Source organism: Homo sapiens, chromosome 2, assembly GCF_000001405.40.
Source record: "Homo sapiens chromosome 2, GRCh38.p14 Primary Assembly".
NCBI lineage: Eukaryota > Metazoa > Chordata > Mammalia > Primates > Hominidae > Homo > Homo sapiens.
In genome coordinates, this window is record NC_000002.12 from 28,249,580 (window position 1) to 28,268,061 (window position 18,482).

The 18,482-nt window shown below is 41.6% G+C and overlaps 1 protein-coding gene across 14 annotated transcripts in view, besides 2 other annotated features; it reads left to right on the forward strand.

Annotated features, from left to right (window-relative positions):
• BABAM2 (BRISC and BRCA1 A complex member 2) overlaps nucleotides 1-18,482 on the forward strand; it is a 450,193-nt gene that overhangs the window by 360,871 nt on the left and 70,840 nt on the right. The window lies entirely within an intron of this gene.
• Nucleotides 221-721: an enhancer, noted in NCBI's record as "H3K4me1 hESC enhancer chr2:28472667-28473167 (GRCh37/hg19 assembly coordinates)". NCBI's record gives its function as "activates a minimal SCP1, AML or CMV promoter by ChIP-STARR-seq in naive H9 embryonic stem cells {active_cell/tissue: H9 hESC(naive)}" and the evidence as "EXISTENCE:reporter gene assay evidence [ECO:0000049][PMID:30033119]".
• Nucleotides 15,155-15,656: an enhancer, noted in NCBI's record as "H3K4me1 hESC enhancer chr2:28487601-28488102 (GRCh37/hg19 assembly coordinates)". NCBI's record gives its function as "activates a minimal SCP1, AML or CMV promoter by ChIP-STARR-seq in naive H9 embryonic stem cells {active_cell/tissue: H9 hESC(naive)}" and the evidence as "EXISTENCE:reporter gene assay evidence [ECO:0000049][PMID:30033119]".

Consider the following 18,482-nt stretch of genomic DNA (forward strand, 5'->3'; position numbering starts at 1 on the left):
ACAAATATTTTATGACTTGTCTACTTTATGCAAGACACAGTTATATGAGAGAGGCTCATATGTTATATGTCTTGGTCTGGGGGAGGTCTTCTTTCTCTCTCTCCAGACTGGAGTGCAGTGGTGCAATCATGGCTCACTGTAGCCTCAACTTCCTGGGCTCAGGTGATCCTCCCACCTTAGCCTCCCAAGTAGCTGGAACTATACATAAGCGCCATGACGCCCAGCTAATTTTATGTAGGGACGAGGTTTTGCTGTTTCCCAGGCTGGTCTCAAAACACCTCGGGCTCAAGGGATCCACCTGCCTCAGCCTCCCAAAGTGTTGGGATTACAGGCATGAGCCACCACACCCAGCTTCTTGTCTTTCTTAATGAAGTCTAATGAGAAAAACAGACAATAAAGACATAAACTTAACAAATATATACATTCAAAAGGTGACAAATAGCGTGATGGAACAAAGTAAAAGGCTATGAATAGAGAATAAGAAGGAGATGCTGTGAGGAAGATGAGGAAGATGCTGTGAGGAGATGCTGTGAGGTCTTCCCTATGCTTCTATAGGGAAGACCTCCTATAGAGGGTGACATTTCCGCTGAGACCTTAGCAGTGATTCAGACAGCCAAGGAAGGCAATTCCAGGGAAGGCAGTCCCTGTGCAAAAGCCCTGAGCCCTGAGGCAGCAAAGAGCTCTGCTGAAGCAGGCGTGGCTGGAGCACAGTGAGTAAGGGGAAGGGCATTTGTTGAACTTTTTTTTTTTTTTTTTTTTTAGCTATCTAATATTGAATTACTTTCTTAGCGGTTTATTCTAGAGATTACAATATGCATCTTTAACATAATTGCCTTAAGATTAATAATACCTTCATTCTGGTAAAATATAGCAACATTGCTCCTTGTCCTCCCGCTTATTTGTTCTATTAATTGTCATATATATTACATGTATATATGTTATAATATAAACACAACAATATAGCTTTTTCTGTCATTACTATAAACAATCATATATATTTTTTTCTTTTTTTTTTGTTTGTTTGTTTGTTTTGTTTTTGAGACGGGGTCTCGCTCTGTCGCCCAGGCTGGAGTGCAGTGGCACGATCTCAGCTCACAGCAACCTCCGCCTCCCAGGTTCAAGCAATTCTCCTGCCTCAGCCTCCTGAGTAGCTAGGATTACAGGCATGTGCCACCACTCCCGGCTAATTTTTTGTGTTTTTAGTAGAGACAGGGTTTTGCCGTGTTAGCCAGGATGGTCTTGATCTCCTGACCTCGTGATCTACCCGCCATGGCTTCCCAAAGTGCTAGGATTACAGGCGTGAGCCACCACGCCCAGCCACAGTCTTATGTTTTTAAAAGAGAAAAAAAGTTATCTTTGGATTTTGCCCTGCACATTATTTCCAGTGTATCTTTGCAAGACTTTGATTGCTGTGTTCCTCCATTTCAGAGCTGTAGGATTGGGGCTGGGGTGGCAGTGTTTATTCAGTCTAATGAATGATAAGGTTCTTACTCTGATGTTTTTCTTTATTTTAAATGACTAATGTTCACACAGATGTCTTAGTATTATTCTTTCTGTATTTGTCTTTAACTATCTGTTTGTTCATTTGTTCATTCATTGGTTTTCAGTTGACATTAAGTAAAAGGAAAGCAATTATTTTGTTTTTCAGAGAACACAGTTTCTGGTAAGACTTTTTTTTTTTAAGCCAGAGGAAATCAACAACTTCAGACTAATTCTGGTAGTCATTTAAATAATTCTTTCCTTATAGGCCTGTAATCAAGGCCAATAAATTAGAAATCAGGACAGCTTTTGAAATTTTAAGTAAAAATCAGAAGCTTCTGTTTATTGCTACAAATGCTTCTGCCGAGCTCTGATTTTGTCAGGCTCTCCAATTCCTGGTATAACCAAGGAAATTATTTGCATTGATGTCGCACTGTCACCTCACCACTAAAACACAAAGCTGTCGTAGTAGCAGCCACTCAGTTCCTGAGCTAAGCGAGGTAGACTTTCATCTGCCCGCTATAGAAACAGTGTTTCGTCGTAGAATATTTAGCACTCAACAAACAAGATGGCTACTACATAAATCGGTAAAACCAAAACTGTGATGTTGCTCAAAACCTGCTTACTTTTTTGGATACAGTTCACATCTTTATATAAAGGAATATACTTGAAAAGCAAATCGGAATCAGTAAAATAATTAAAATTAAGAACCACAATGCTATGTGTTAGAATTTGTTTCAAGCCAAATCTATAGAAAGTGTAATATTATTTTAGAATTACCATGTTTACCTCATATCAGACATAAAGATTCTTAGTTTAATTTTATCATTTCTAGTATTAATAACTATCAGGCTAGGTGCAGTGGCTCATGCCCGTAATCCCAGCACTTGGGGAGGCCAAGGTGGGTAGATCACCTGAGGTCAGGAGTTCGAGATCAGCCGAAACATGGTGAAACCCTGTCTCTACTAAAAATACAAAAATTAGCCAAGTGTGGTGGCACCTGTAATCTCAGCTTCTTGGGAGAGGCTGAGATAGGAGAATCGCTTGAACCTGGGAGGTGGAGGTTGCAGTGAGCCGAGAACGTGCCGTTGCACTCCACCCTGGGCAAGAGGAGTGAAACTCCATCTCAAAAAAAAAAAAAGCAAAAAAACTATCAAAGCAACAGGAATGAAAATTAATTATCAACAAAATATCAAACCAGTCAGTTCTCTAATATTGTTCCGAATGATAAAAGAATATGGAAAAAGATAAAAGAAAATTTACTAAATGCCTTTTTGCTTTAATTATGGGAACTACTGAGTCCTTTAGATACTTTTACATTTTGGTTAATTTTTATACTGAGACTTCCTTGAAAGTGGTTAGCTCTACTAGGCAAAGTGGTTTTCATCTTTTGATTATACACACAAGCACACCCTTCGCCCGGTTTACAGTTCAGAGAGCTCCAGTCCTTCAGCAACCACTGTCACTATTTTGACTCAAATTGAAACTTCTGTTTCATCTTTAGAGTTTACTTCCAGAAAGCCTGTTTTGTAATTTCTGACACTAGTTTGAGAACTTACTGGATTAATCTTCACTGGGAATATTGTCTTCATTATAATACCTTAGAATTACATGACCCCTTTTTAGTGACCTTAAAGGATTTCTTTTAAGGAAGAAGGTTGTAAATCACTTGCACAATCATGCAATGAATTTTTCCCCTGTACCCTCTTATATATGTTGTATGAATCTTTTCAGTTGTAATTATTGGATTAAGTAATTGCCAAAGCAAGTGTTTCTGATCAAAGAAAGGTCTTGAAAAATTAGCAATTTTGACTTCTCAGTGATTTTTGACATGCTGTCAAATTAACAACTGTAACTCAAGAAGTCATCTTACCCAGTGAAAGAAAGGAAGCTGTTTACAGAGTAACTCTTATGTTATTGATGTAGTTCAGTATAACCTTTTCTTAGAATTAATATTAAAGTACTGTTGACATTGGTGAAGCATGGGCATTATTATGTTTTGGTGCAGAGCTTCTGCTGTTGTTGAAAATAATAGCAATAACAGTTCACAGGTATGGAGTGAAGGCTGAGTGCGGTGGCTCATGCCCGTAATCCTAGCACTTTGGGTGGCCAAAGCGGATGGATCACCTGAGGTCAGGAGTTCAAGACTTGGCCAACATGGTGAAACCCTGCCTCTACTAAAAAAAAAAGAAAATTAGCCAGGTGTGGTGGCATGCGCCTGTAATCCCAGCTACTCAGGAGGTTGAGGCATGAGAATTGCTTGAACCCAGGAAGTGGAGGTTGCAGTGAGCCAAGATGGCACCACTGTACTCAGGCCTGTGTGACAGAGCAAGACTTTGTCTCAAAAAAAAAAAAAAAGTATGGAGTGTATACCATGCTCTAGACACTGTTCTCAGTACTTTGCATATGTTATGTTATTTAATCTGCAGAACATCTTTCTGAGGTTAATTACCAGAATAACCCATTTTACAAATAACAAAACTGGCACAGCAAGATTAAATGACAGAGCTAGTGTTTAAATCCAGGAATAGACTCTAGATCCCATGTGCTAAACTACATTACTCTGCTGTTTCAGATAATTGTTTGACAGTATCCCCAGGTATGTGTGATAAATTTCAAAAGCCTTTAGAGCTTCACGGAAACCCTGTAAGCCCCAAGAACAAGAGCAGAGGGTCAGTGTCTGCAGCCATGCACAGGTCAGAGAGATATGGAGACTATCTCATCTCTCAGGAATGGAGTGGATGTCTCAGCAGAGACATTACTGTTCTGAAGACAACGGGGCATTAAGCTGGAGTTGTTCCTCAGTGGAGGTGACAGGTTGTTCACTTATAATCCCCTGTCCTGTGGCACAAACTACTGGCTCAAGGTAGGGATTCATTTTTGGCCATTGAAAGAACAAAACTAAGCAGCTTATTAAGGAATGAAAGAGCTACTGATTACCAAAAACGTGATTTAACCTGTTTAGACATAGTGAATGTGGTCAGTTATAATGGTTTGTCATACAAAGTTCATGTTAACCTACAAGGTCAAATGCCTCCTGAGAAAGAGGTGATTTAGATGTGGGAGTAGCCCAGGTTCTAAGACGGTTGGAGGAGTAGGAACTGTGGCAAACTGCACACTCCTTTCTATCCTCTTCATTGTTGATCTCGGCTCATTCCAGCCCTGCTGCCCAGGTTCAAGCAATTCTCCTGCCCCAGCCTCCCAAGTATCTGGGACTACAGGCATGTGCCACCATGACCAAATAATTTTTGTATTTTTTGTAGATACGGTGTTTGACTATGTTGGCCAGGCTGGTCTCGAACTCCTGACCTCAGGTGATCCTCCCGCCTCGATCTCCCAAAGTGCTGGGATTACAGGCATGAGCCGCCACGCCCATGCCCAGCCCATTGTTGTTTTTTTTAACTGAATAAATCCAGACATTTCTGTGGGTTGGATCTGTCCTGAGAACCTGTTAATTAAAAAAAAAAAAATTATTGTAGAAATTTCAAGCAAACGTGAAAGTAGAAAGAAAAATATAGTGAACCGCTATCACCCATATCGCAGTTTGAATACCTTGTTTCTTCTATCCTGCCTCCTTTTTAATTTCCTGAATATTTTGATGCAAGGGAAATGTTGTTTTACCTATAAATACCTCACTATGTATCTCTAACAGATAAGGATTTTTTTTCAATTTTTTTTTTTTTTTTTTTTTGAGACAGGGTCTTGCTCTGTAGACCAGGCCAACGTGCAGTAGAGTGATCATCTAGCTCATTGCAGCCTCAAACTCCTGGACTCAAGGGACCCTCCCACCTCAGCCTCCAGAGTAGCTGGGACTATAGACACACACCACCATGCCAGCTAATTTTTTAAAAATTTTTCCATAAAGACAGAGTCTCACTATGTTGCCCAGGCTTGTCTCAAACTTCTGGCCTCTAGTGAACCTCCCACCTCAGCTTCCCAAAGTCCTGGGATTGCAGGCATGAGCCACTGCACCCAGCCCAGATAAGGATTTTTTAAAAAGATATATTGACGATAGTATTATGACATCTAATTAATTAATATCACCTAATACCCAGTTTGTGTTCAGATTTCCCCATTTGTCTCAAACGTGGGTTTTTTTTAGCACTTGCTTTGTTCAAATCAGGATCCGAACAAGTAAGAATCCGTGAATCTTGAAAGCCTTTCTTTAGAAAATAGGAGAAAAAGTGTTTTTAGTTATTTCATTTAGAATCTGAGCCATTCCGTCTTTTTTTTAAGATGGAGTCTCACTTTGTTGCCCAGGCTGGAGTGCAGTGGTGCAATCTCAGCTCACTGCAACTTCAGCCTTCCAGGTTCAAGCGATTCTCCTGACTCAGCCTCCCAAGTAGCTGGGATTACAGACATGCACCGTCATGCCCGGCTAATTTTTGTATTTTTAGCAGAGATGGGGGTTTCACCATGCTGGCCAAGCTGGTCTTGAACTCCTGACCTCAAGTGATCCACCCACCTTGGCCTGCCAAAGTGCTGGGATTACAGGCATAAGCCACAGCACCCAGCTGCCATCCAGTCTTAATGCTAGTTTTTAATAGAATTCTTAGCACTAGAATGAACAGTTAGAGGCCATCTAACTTAGAAGTTTTTGTTTGTTTGTTTGTTTTTATATTTTTGAGACATGGTCTCACTCGCTCACCCAGGCTGGAGTGTAGTGGTGTGATCTTGGCTCACTGTAGCCTCAGCCTCCCAGGCCCAAGTAATCCTCCCACCTCAGCCTCCAGAGTAGCTGGCATTACAGGTGTACACCACCACACTCAGCTAATTTTTGTATTTTTTGTGGAGACAGAGTTTCACCATGTTCCCCAGGCTGGTCTTAAATTTCTGAGCTGAAGTGATCCGCCCACCATAGCCTCCCAAAGTGCTGAGATTACAGGTGTGTGCCACCACGCCTGGCCTAGCTCAGAAGTTTTTAACAGGTGTTTTTTTTTGTGCCAAAGATTCCTTTGGTGAATTCCGTGGATCCATTCTGTAGAACAGTGTATTTTGCGTAAAATAAAATATACTGTGCTAAAAAGGAAACTGATTATGTGGAACCTGTTATCAAATCTTTAAAAAGTTATGATATAGAGATGTATCTATAATCAGATATATCATTTCTTTAGCAGATACATAGCTTCTTTGTTAACACATTAAATAGTAATATCCAGTAGCATATCTAATAACCACCATAATTTTGAAATAGTGATAAATGTAAATAATATTTTGAGATATGGGCAACACTTACAATTTGATATAAAAATACCTGTGATTTCTATTAGTACCAAAGTTATTACTGCTAAAGCCACTGCAGATTGTTGCCTATATTCATAATAGAAGGAAATGCTAAATTTCAGTTAAAGGTTGTAAAAACAAAGATACACATTTATGTAAAGAAAATGCGTAAAGATACACATTTTCCCATCCAAATTCCCAGATGCCCTGAATCCAAGGACGCTTTCAGGGGCAATGAGGAGAGATGCATGGACCTCAGATTGAGAATCTCTGAAAACTCTTATCATTTACTGAGGTATTGGCTGAGTACCTGGCCCAAGGTCATGCATGATATTAGTGGAAGAATAGGACTAGAAACGAAATTCCTTAAAATTCAATTAAGTATTTTTCATATGTTTGGATGGCTCACTTCTTTTTTTTTTTTTTTTTTTGAGATGGAGTCTCGCTCTGTCACCCAGGCTGGAGTGCAATGGCACGATCTCAGCTCACTGCAGCCTCTGTCTCCTGGGCTCAAGCGATTCTCCTGCCTCAGCCTCCCAAATAGCTGGGATTACAGGCGCACAGCAACACACCTGGCTAATTTTTGTATTTTTGGTAGAGATGGGGTTTCACCATGTTGGTCAGGCTGGTCTCGAAATCCTGACCTCAGGTGATCCACCCACCTCGGCCTCCCAAAGTGCTGGGATTACAGGCATGAGACACCACGCCCGGCCTGGACAGGTAAGTACTTTACAGCAATACATGTCCAGTATTGTACTGTTGGCATCTCAGTACTGGCCTGATGTTTAGCATAAGGAAAATAACAGAAAATAATGCCCTGATTTGAGGTATAATGACTTTTCCATTTGCATATTGTATACTCAGCAACTGCACAGATTCAGCTTTCATGAGTTCATAGAGTACATTTTCCCATCTTTTTTGAGGTATAATTTACATATAGTAAAATTCACCATTTTAAGTGAACACTTAAATTTTGGCAACCACATACAGGCATAGATCTAGCCCCACCATCAAGACAAACAACATTTTCTATTATGTTAAAAAGTGTCCTTGTAAGCCTTTGCAGTTGGTCTCCTCCCCTGACTTCCAGCCCCAGGTAGCCACCGACCACTTTCTGTTTCTCTAGTTGATTCTGTTTTGTTTTCGATTTCTTTTACTTAGCATAACGTTTTTGAGATCCATCCATGGTGTTGTGTGTGTCAATGTTTTGTTCTTATTTATTGCTGAGTAGTATTTCATTTTTTCATTCCATTGTTTATGCATTTACCAGATGCTGAACATTTATTTGTTTCCAAGTTTTAGTTATTAAGAATAATGCTAGGCCAGACTCGGTGGCTCAGGCCTGTAATCCCAGTGCTTTGGGAAGCTGAGGTGGGAGGATTACTTGAGGCCAGGAGTTCAAGACCAGCCTGAGCAACATTGCAAGACCCTTTCTCTACAAAAAAATTTAAAAATTAGCCCAGTGTGGTGACATGCACCTGTAGTCTCAGCTACTCAGAAGGCTGAAGTGGGAGGATTGGTTGAGCTCAGGAGGTCAGGGCTGCAGTAAGCCATGTTCATACCTCTGCACTCCAGCCTGGGTTACAGAGTAAAAAGAAAAAAGAAAGAAAAGAAGCCGGGCGTGGTGGCTCACGCCTGCAATCCCAGCACTTTGGGAGGCTGATGCGGGCAGATCACTTGAGGTCAGGAATTCGAGACCAGCCTAGCCAACATGGTGAAACCCCATCTCTACTAAAAATACAAAAATTAGTCTGGCATGGCAGCAGGCACTTGTAATCCCACCTACTTGGGAGGCTGAGGCAGGAGAAACGCTTGAACCCAGGAGGTGGAGGTTGCTGTGAGCTGAGATCGCACCACTGCACTCCAGCCTGGGCAGCAGAGCGAGACTGTGTCTCAAAAATAAATAATAAATAAATAAAAAGGAAAGGAAAGAAAGAATAGTTCTTCTTGAACGTAATTCAAGTGCAAGTCTTTGTATGGACGTATGTTTTTAATTCTCTTGGGTAAAAACGTAGAAGTGGAAATGCTGGGTCCTATGGTGCACGTATTTTAACTCAGTAATGTACTGCCATACTATTTTCCAAATGACTGTCACTTTTTACATTTTCACTGACAGTGTGTGAGAGTTTAATTTTTCCCCATTCTTTCCAACTCTTGATATTGTCATTCTTTTTAAGTTTAGCCATTATAGGATATATAATAGTACCTTATTGTGGCTTCAATTTGCAATTCCCTAATGACTAGTGATGTTAAACATCTTTTCCTATGCTTATCTGCCATTCGGGTAAGTTAATTTGTGAAGCATCTGCTTAAGTCTTTTTCTTTTTTCTTTTCTTTTTTTTTTTTTTTTGAGACAGGATGTTGCTCTGTCACCCAGGCTGTAGTGCAGTGGCGCCATCAGGCTCATTGCAGCCTCTACCTCCCAGGCTCAAGTGTTCCTCCCACTTCAGCCTCCTGAGCAGCAGGGACTGCAAGCATGCACCGCCATGCCTGGCTAATTTTTTTTTCTTTTTGAGATGGAGTCTCACTCTGTCACCCAGGCTGGAGTGCAGTGGTGCGATCTCGGCTCACTGCAACCTCCATCTCCCAGGTTCAAGCAGTTCTCCTGCCTCAGCCTCCCGAGTAGCTGGGACTACAGGCACACGCCACCACCCCCAGCTAATTTTTGTATTTTTGGTAGAGACAGGGTTTCACCATGTTGGCCAGGATGGTCTCGATCTCTTGTCCTCATGATCCACCCACCTTGGCCTCCCAAAGTGCTAGGATTACAGGCTTCAGCCACTGCACCTGGCCTTTTTTTTTTTTTTTTTTTTTTTTTTTTTTTTCAGACTGAGTCTTGCTCTGTTGCCAGGCTGGAGTGTAGTGGTGCGATCTGGGCTCACAGCAATCTCCACCTCCCAGGTTCAAGCAATTCGCCTGCCTCAGCCTCCCAAGTAGCTGGGACTACAGGCACACGCCACCACACCCAGCTAATTTTTGTATTTTTGGTAGAGACAGAGTTTCACCATGTTGGCCAGGATGGTCTCCATCTCCTGACCTCATAATCCACCCACCTCGGCCTCCCAAAGTGCTGGGATCACAGGTAAGCTACCGCACCTAGCCGGCTAGTTTATTATGTTTTGTAGAGATGAGGTCTTGCTATGCTGCCCAGGCAGTTTTTCTTGTTTTTAATTGGGCTGTTATGTTCTTACTTTTGAGTTGAGTTTTTTATACATTGGGATACAAACCCTTTGTCAGTTCCGTGTTCTGCAAATATTGGTTGAGAATATTTAATTGTGTCTTTCATAGAGCAAAAAATTTTAATTCTGATGAAGTCAATTTTATCATTTTTAAATTTTATGAGCCATGCTTTTTATGTCCTGCTTAAAAAATTCTTGCCTAACCGAGTTCACAAATAATTTTAAAAATGTTTTCTTTTAGAAAGTTTCTAGTTTTAGCTCTAAAATGTAGGTCTGTGTTCCACTTCAAGTTAATTTTGTGTATGGTATAAGGTAAGGGACATGGTTTTTTTTTTCTGTACTAATATCCAGTTTGTTGAAAAGTCTAGTCTTTCCCCATTAAATTACCTTAGCACCTTTCTCAAAAGTCAGTTGACCATATAAGTGTAAATCTACTTCTGAATTCTTTTTTTTTTTTGAGATGGAGTCTCGCTTTTGTCGCCCAGGCTGGAGTGCAGTGGCACGATCTCGGCTCACTGCAACCTCTTCTTCCCGTATTCAAGTAATTCCTCTGCCTCAGCCTCTCAAGTAGCTGGGATTACAGGCACATGCCACCATGCCTGGCTAATTTTTGTATTTTTAGTAGAGACGGGGTTTCACCATTGCCAGGATGATCTCAATCTCCTTACCTCATGATCCACCCGCCTCGGCCTCCCAAAGTGCTGAGATTACAGGCGTGAGCCACCACACCCAGCCTTCTGAATTCTTACTCTGTTCCATTGATCTGTGTGTCTGTGCTTTCCCTTTAAGTAGGTCTTGAAATCGTGTAGTATAAGTTTTTTAACTTTGTATTTCTTTTCTTTTTTTTTTTTTTTTTTTTGACATGGAGTCTTGCTCTATCATCCAGGTTGGAGTGCAGTGGCACAATCTTGGTTCACTGCAACCTCTGCCTCCCGGGTTCAGGTGATTCTCCTGCGTTAGCCTCCTGAGTAGCTGGGATTACAGGTGCCTACCACCACGCCCGGCTAATTTTTGTATTTTTAGTAGAGACAGGGTTTTGCCGTGTTAGCCAGGCTAGTCTTGAACTCCTAACCTCAGGTGATCCACCCACCTCGGCCTCCCAAAGTGCTGGAATTACAGGCGTGAGGCAGCGCATCCAGCCAACTTTGTATTTCTGTATTCAAAATCATTTAGTCTTTTACATCCTTTGCCTTTCCCTGTGCGTTCTAGAATCAGCTTGTCAGTTTCTTCACAAAAAGCATGATTGGGATTGCATTGAATCTACTGTACCTCAATTTGAGGAGAATTGCCATCTTGGAAATAATTGCATTTTCCCTTTCATGAACATGGTATATGTTTTCATTTATTTCAATCTTTCATTTCCCATAGCAATGTTTTGTAGTTTTCAATATACAAGTCTTGCACATCTTTTGTTAAATTAATTTCTAAGTATATTTTTAAGCTATCGTGAATGAAGTTTTCAAAATTTTTCATTTTCTTTCTTTTTTTTTTTTTTTTTTGAGATGACGTCTCACTCTATTACCCAGGCTGGAGTGCAGTGGCACAATCTTGGCTCACTTCAACCTCCACCTCCTAGATTCAAGCGATTCTCCTGCCTCAGCCTCCCAAATACCTGGTATTACAGGCACACACCACCATACCCAGCCAATTTTTGTATTTTTAGTAGAGACAGGGTTTCACCATAATGGTCAGACTGGTCTCAAACTCCTGACCTCAAGTGATCCACCCACCTCAGTCTCTTAAAGTGCTGGGATTACGGGCATGAGCCACTGCACCCAGACTAAAAATTTTCATTTTCAAATTGCTAATTGTTAATATATAGAAATATAATTGATTTTGTGTATTGACCTTTAGTAAATTACTTAGAATTTTTTTTTTTTTTTTGAGGCGGAGTCTTGCTCTGTCGCCCAGGCTGGAGTGCAGTGGCACGAGGATCTTGGCTTACTGCAAGCTCCACCTCCCGGGTTCATGGCATTCTCCTGCCTCAGCCTCCCGAGTAGCTGGGACTACAGGCGCCCGCCACCACACCCGGTTAATTTTTTTTTTGTATTTTTAGTAGAGACAGTGTTTCATTTCACCCTGTTAGCCAGGATGGTGTCGATCTCCTGATCTTATGATCTGCCCACCTTGGCCTCCCAAAGTGCTGGGATTACAGGCGTGAGCCACCGCGCCCGGCCAATTACTTAGAATTTTTATGTATATGATCATGTCATCTGCAGATGACAGTTTTACTTTTTCCTTTCCAGTGTGAGTTTTGTCCTTCCTTCCTTCTTCCCTTCCTTTCTCTCCCCTCCCCTCTCCTCCTTTCCCCTCCCCTCCCCTCCCCTTCCCTTCCCTCCCTTCCAGTGGCCTCCAGACCTGACCTATGCAATACTTTATTCATTTATATATTGATTTATCCCTTCGGTCATCATGTATTTGAGGACCTGCTTTGGTTCCGGTACTGTCAAGACTCAGGGATACCAGAATGAATGATACCTTGTCTGAAATAGCTCACAATCTAGTGGGGAAAATGAACATATGAAAATAACAAAGAAATATTACTTAAAGTGCATTTCTAGGCATACACCAGATGTTACGAGAATACAGTGAAGCGTCACCCAACACAGTAAGGGAGGAGGGCCATAAGATCATTCCAAGCTGAGAGCCTGGTGTAAACAAAGGCACAGAGGGAAGAAATCTTAGAGTGGAGGTGAGGAACTGAAAGTGGTTTCCAGTCTCCTAAATGTTTAGAGGATCCCAAGAAGTAGTAAGAGATTAAGCTAAAGAGGCAGTCAGAGGGCAGAACACAGATATAACGTTGCCTAGGAGGCTGACAAATGTGACTTTATCCTAAGGATAGCAAGGAGTTATTGAAGAGTGCTCAGTAGAAAAGTGGCATATATTTGCTTTTATAAGAATACACTTTTCAGGTATTATGTAAAAGATGATTTGGGATGGAGACCAGGGACCTAAAAAGACAGTCCAGGCAAAAGATTAGACCTGAACTAGAGGAGTCATAGTAGGGATAGAGGGGAAGAAAAATGTTTAAGAAACATATTGGAAGTAGAACTGGAAAAACTGTGATTGATCCCAAGTAGAAGATGAGGGACAGAGAAGAAATAGGATGATTCCCAGGTTTCTTTTTTAGGCATCTAGGTAGCTGATGATGCCATCATCTTAGGCAAGGTTTACTTTAGGAGGAACAGAGTTGGAGATGTTGAGCTCCGTTAGGGATATAATGAGTTTTAGGAGCCTGTGGACATCCAGTTAAAGAATAAATGAGAGAACATTCACATAGAACAAAGGTGTGGTGGAGGCTCTCACCAGCTTAACCTAGAGTCCATTCCAACCTGCAAACTGCTGGTTGTCCCCAGTCCAGATGATGCTGAACTCTTTGGCCTGGCTGAACTCTTTTGTCCAGTCACATGTCACACTGGACAGGAAGTGGCTTGGAACTCGAAACCTTGTTGATACACTTTTCCTCCCAAAGAGGTGATCCAAATTCCTGAGATGGCCCGACCTAGGATGTACTGAAAGAGGCTTTGGGCAGTAACTTCTAAACTGAGAATGACTTGTGGCTAAACTTGAACCCTTGCCTTCCAGTAGATGAAAGGTGAAGCAATTTATCTCTCGAAAGAAAAAATATGGTATGATTCCACTTATTTGAGGTAACAGCAAGACACTGTCTCAAAAAAAAAAAAAAAAGAAGAAAAGAAAGGAAGGAGAGGAGGAGAGGGGAGGGGATTATTATTATTAATAATAATACCATTGTTATGCATAAATAATATAATTTATTGAGTATTCACTATATGCAAAGTACTGTGCTAAATACTTTACAATAATTCCATATAATTCTCTCAACAGCCCTGTGAGGTTGGGCTACTTATTATCCCCATTTTACAAAAAGCACCTCCAGATAGTGTAACTTGCCAGAAGTCCCATAGCTAGTAGCTGAAGGACAGAGCATTTGAACCAAGACCATCTGATTCCAGATCTCTTGTTCCTAGCAGTTTACTAAAGCTTCCCAATCCATGTGCTGGGGCACACTGATGGGTTAGGGATAGGTTACAGATAGGCTACTGACCTCTTCAGTCCTTGGGGGAGCCGCAGCCCACAGTGAGTGACCTCTGCCAGCCTTACCCATTTTCCTCGAGTGCCATAAAATAGTACCATTTTCTGGGTAAGTGCCATGATTTGAAAGGAGTTGGGGAGCACAGTACAACTGTACTGTCTCTTCTGTAACATCTACCAGACCCTACACATGTCTATGGTCAGAATTCCAACCTCAGAGCACGTGGTGGGTAGGGATCCTAATTTCTAGTTACTTTCTGCAAATGAGGTGCTACGGGGCTCCCCAGTGTTACCTCTGATGCTCCCAACTGTGGAACTTTCTCTTTGTACTATGAGTCTTTTGAACTCTCCCAGTGTTGAAAAGGTGGATTAACAATTCCCCCGTCTCCAGGGAAACCACAGTACCTGCCAGTAATGAGAAACTTTGCATACAGGCAAGCCTAGTGAAGATAATTGCCAAAAGGAATCCGTCAGTGTGATTGAGGCCAGAGAACTAGCAATTACATTCAAATTTTTAAATGCCAACCACCCATCAATTTTTGCTCTAAACCATTGTCTCGTTTCAGCTTTGTTTTCCAATAAAGATACAAGTTTAGTTCCATACTAGTCTTTCCAGCTAGGCTTTCAGGTTAAACATGGAATCTTATCTAGTTTATAGGACTTAACATTTGTAGAGATGGGGTTTGCCTTTTTTATACTCCCAGGTAAGAGCTGAATGTAAGCATGTTCTTTATGCCAGATACCATACTGGATACTAAAGATATAGGACTGAATGGGACATTCCTTTTCTAGAGGAACTCACAGTCTTATATACACAGATTCCCTGTATTGAAAAAAGAAAAAAAACTCTTTGGCTAAGCTAATATTTCTCATTTTTTATTTGGCTATATGCTTGGAAACCTCATCTGTATTATAAACTGTCTCCTATGTCAGGCAAATTAAAAAGAATTTGCAAAGTTTATCCTTGAGCTTTTGTTTGATTGAGACCTCAGAAATGAATTGTGGTCGCAACAAAAGCATCTCCAAATGGCATAGTCTTTGTTTTATGTTGGAAGAATGGAGTGGGCCAAAACCGTCAGTTCATACTGTTCCACCACAACCAGTCAATGAGAAGGTAGAGCCCATTTGGATGGGATGGTGCTTGAACACTGTATTTACAAGAAGATGAAAACATGCTGAGTTGGCCTCTAACCAAGGGGACAAAATACTTCAAAAGACCCATTTTTCTGGGAGGTGAACAGCCCAAGATTGCAGACTCAGTGGACTCCACAGAGAGTAAACACAAAGACTTTACATGCTAACGTTCAAAGACAGTTTACCCCAACATCATTCATTGTTTTCATTATTCCAGAGGTCATGGGGGCTTCAGAAAACCAACACAATCTGAAAGAATTGCTTCTTGATTTCAGCTTTTCAAGTTTGATTGTTTTAACAACTAGAAAGTCATTTGAAACAACCCAGACTTAACTTTGCTACTCAGAGATAGCATTAGTTTTTCAATCCACATTTGACCCAAGGGTGTACTGACCAGTGGGCACAGGGAAGGAGTGGGAGTAAGGACTGTGGCTTCTAATTCTGGTCTTGTTTTGCCCTATAAAGTGTGTTAGATCAGCCTCAGTCTCCCTATATAAGACACAATTAGGCCGGGCGCGGTGGCTCATGTCTGTAATCCCAGCACTTTGGGAGGCCGAGGCGGAGGATCACCTGAGGTCAGGAGTTCAAGACCAGCCTGGCCAACATGGCAAAACCCCGTCTCTACAAAAATTAGCTGGGCATGGTGGCGCACGCCTGTAATCCCAGCTACTCAGGCAGCTGAGGCAGGAGAATCACTTGAACACGGGAGGTGGAGGTTGTAGTGAGCTGAGATCAGGCCATTGCACTCCAGCCTAGGTGACAGAGCGAGACTCTGTCTCAAAATAAATAAATAAATAGGACACAATTAAATCAATTGGTGTTCTTAAACAAAATGGCCTAAGGGTCAGAAAACTGAAAAGCGGGTAGCTGCTCCAGTAGTCCCCTCTCCATGACTCCTGGGTATTGCCAGCTTTGGGGGATGGGAAAGAGGTAGGGCTTGACCAGAATTCTCCAGCATGTACAGTCCTATTCATACACATGCATGCACATATGTGCACACACACACACGACACACGTACACTCTAGTGATAACACTCAGCTAACTTCCCTACTCTTGGAACTAAGCCTTTGAGAAAAACAAAAAGTAGTTGCCCCTCCCCACCCCACATACAAAACATAGGGACTCTCTCTAAGAATGTACCTTTAACAATTTTTTAATTTTATTGTTTGAATCTGCAATATATTCACCTAATTTTTTAAATACACAATAGGCAAAGTCCCATCCCCACCTGTTCCCAGTCTGGCTTGTTCTTCTCGTCACTTGTGTTAGTTTTTTTAATTAGGCCTTTCAGAGTTTCTTTATGTAAATAAAATAAATATAAGTACATATTCTTAGTTTTCTTCTTTTTTTTTTTGAGATGGGGACTCACTATGTTGCCCAGGCTGGAGAGCAATGGCACTATCTTGGCCCACTGCAACCTCCACCTCCTGGATTCAAGTGATTCTCATGCCTCAGCCTCCCAAGTAACTGGGATTACAGGCACACACCACCACGCTCGGCTAAGTTTTTTGTATTTTTAGTAGAGACGAGGTTTCGCCATGTTGGCCAGGCTGGCCTTAAACACCTGACCTCAGATTATCTGCTTGCCTGGACCTCCCAAAGTGTTGGGATTACAAGCATGAGCCACCGTACCCAGCCACCTTTCTTCTTTCTGACTTGAAAAGTAGCATATTACATACCTTATCTGCACCTGCAGCAAGTGCTTTTGATATTTTATTGCCATGGATGTGCAGTTCTTAACCTCCCCTCCATCTTGGTCACTGAGTTAATTCAAAGGCTCAGCACCTGCAGCTTTGCAGCTCTTCTTCATTCATAAATGTAAGTGGATTGATAGTATCCTCTGTCATTCCCAAAGTGTTATTAGAAATGTCTCTTCATTGTTAGTGATAAGATCTTATAGTATTTCAAAGTACTTTCCCATTTATCATCTTATTTAATTTGATCTTCCCCAAGCCCCATGAAGTTGGTAGGACAGGTATTGTCCTTGTTTTTAAGGTAAGGAAACCAAGGGTAAAAGGTTGGCATTGTCACACGCCTGGGTCTAAGGACTGTCCTCTGTACCTGATGCCACTTTATTTCTGTTTTCCAAAAACAAAGGAGGAACTGCCTTCCATAGTTTTGTTAATACTTCTCCATATTTACCATATAAGTCTTTCATGGTTGTTAAAACTTTTTATTTTGGGATAATTGTGGATTCACATGTAGGTGTAAGAAATAGTACAAAAGGCTGGGTGCAGTGGCTCACGCCTGTAATCCCAGCATTTTGGGAGGCCAAGGCGTGTGGATCAGCTGAGATCAGGAATTCGAGACCAGCCTGATCAACATGGTGAAAGCCCATTTCTACTAAAAATACAAAAATTAGCTGGGTGTGGTGACAGGCACCTGTAATCCCAGCTACGTGGGAGGCTAAGGCAGGAGAATTGCTTGAACCTGGGAGGCGGAGGTTGCAGTGAGCCTAGATTGTGCCACTGCACTCCAGCCTGGGTGACAAGAGTGAAACTCTGTCTCCAAAAAAGAAGGAAAGAAAGAAAGAAAGAATACAAAGATCCTATGTACCCTTCACCCACTTTCTCCCAGTGGTATCATCTTGAACAACTGTAGTACAATATCAACAACCAGGATAGGATACTGACATTGACACAATCAAGAGGCAGAACAACTCCACTAGGAGGATCCCTCCTGGTGCTTTTATCTCCACAAGTCCCTCACTCCCCCATAAATGCAGGAGGCAGAGCCCACCCCCAGGCCCAGCTGTTGCTTCATTTACACTGACTAGACACACACACACATACACACACACACACACACACACACACACTTTTAATGTATTTTGAAATGGTGGTTTTATCAGGAAAGTCTAACACCTATAACAAGCAACCCCCAGTCTCTGTGGCTAACACAGTAACGTTTTATTTCCTGTGCTGTCAATTCAGTGGTGGTCATTATGGATGAAAGGAGGACTCTGCTTCTTGCAGAAGTTCTGGGACCAGCTTCTCTGTCTAATGGCTCCACCATTCCCTATGGCCTCAGCATCCTCCACTGCACCCTCTTCTTCAGGCCAGCATGGCAGGGGCCATAGGGGTCAGGCCCAGAAGTGGCATTTATCTCTCCAACACACAGAATTTAGTCATTTGGCTCCACCTCACTGCAGGAAGGCTGGGAAATTTGTTTGGGTATGCCTAGGAGAAAAAGGAAAAATTGTTGATGAGCACATGTTCAAGAATAATCATGGCAGTATCTCTAGTTGTAGTTGAAACTAGAAGAAACCCAAAAACCCAAATGTTCACTGACAGAGGAATGGATAAATAGTGTCAAATTTACATTATTATACAACTGTGAAAATGACAAACTGTATCTATACACAATAAAGACGAAATCTTAGAACCCTAATATTGACTGAAAAAAGCAAGTTC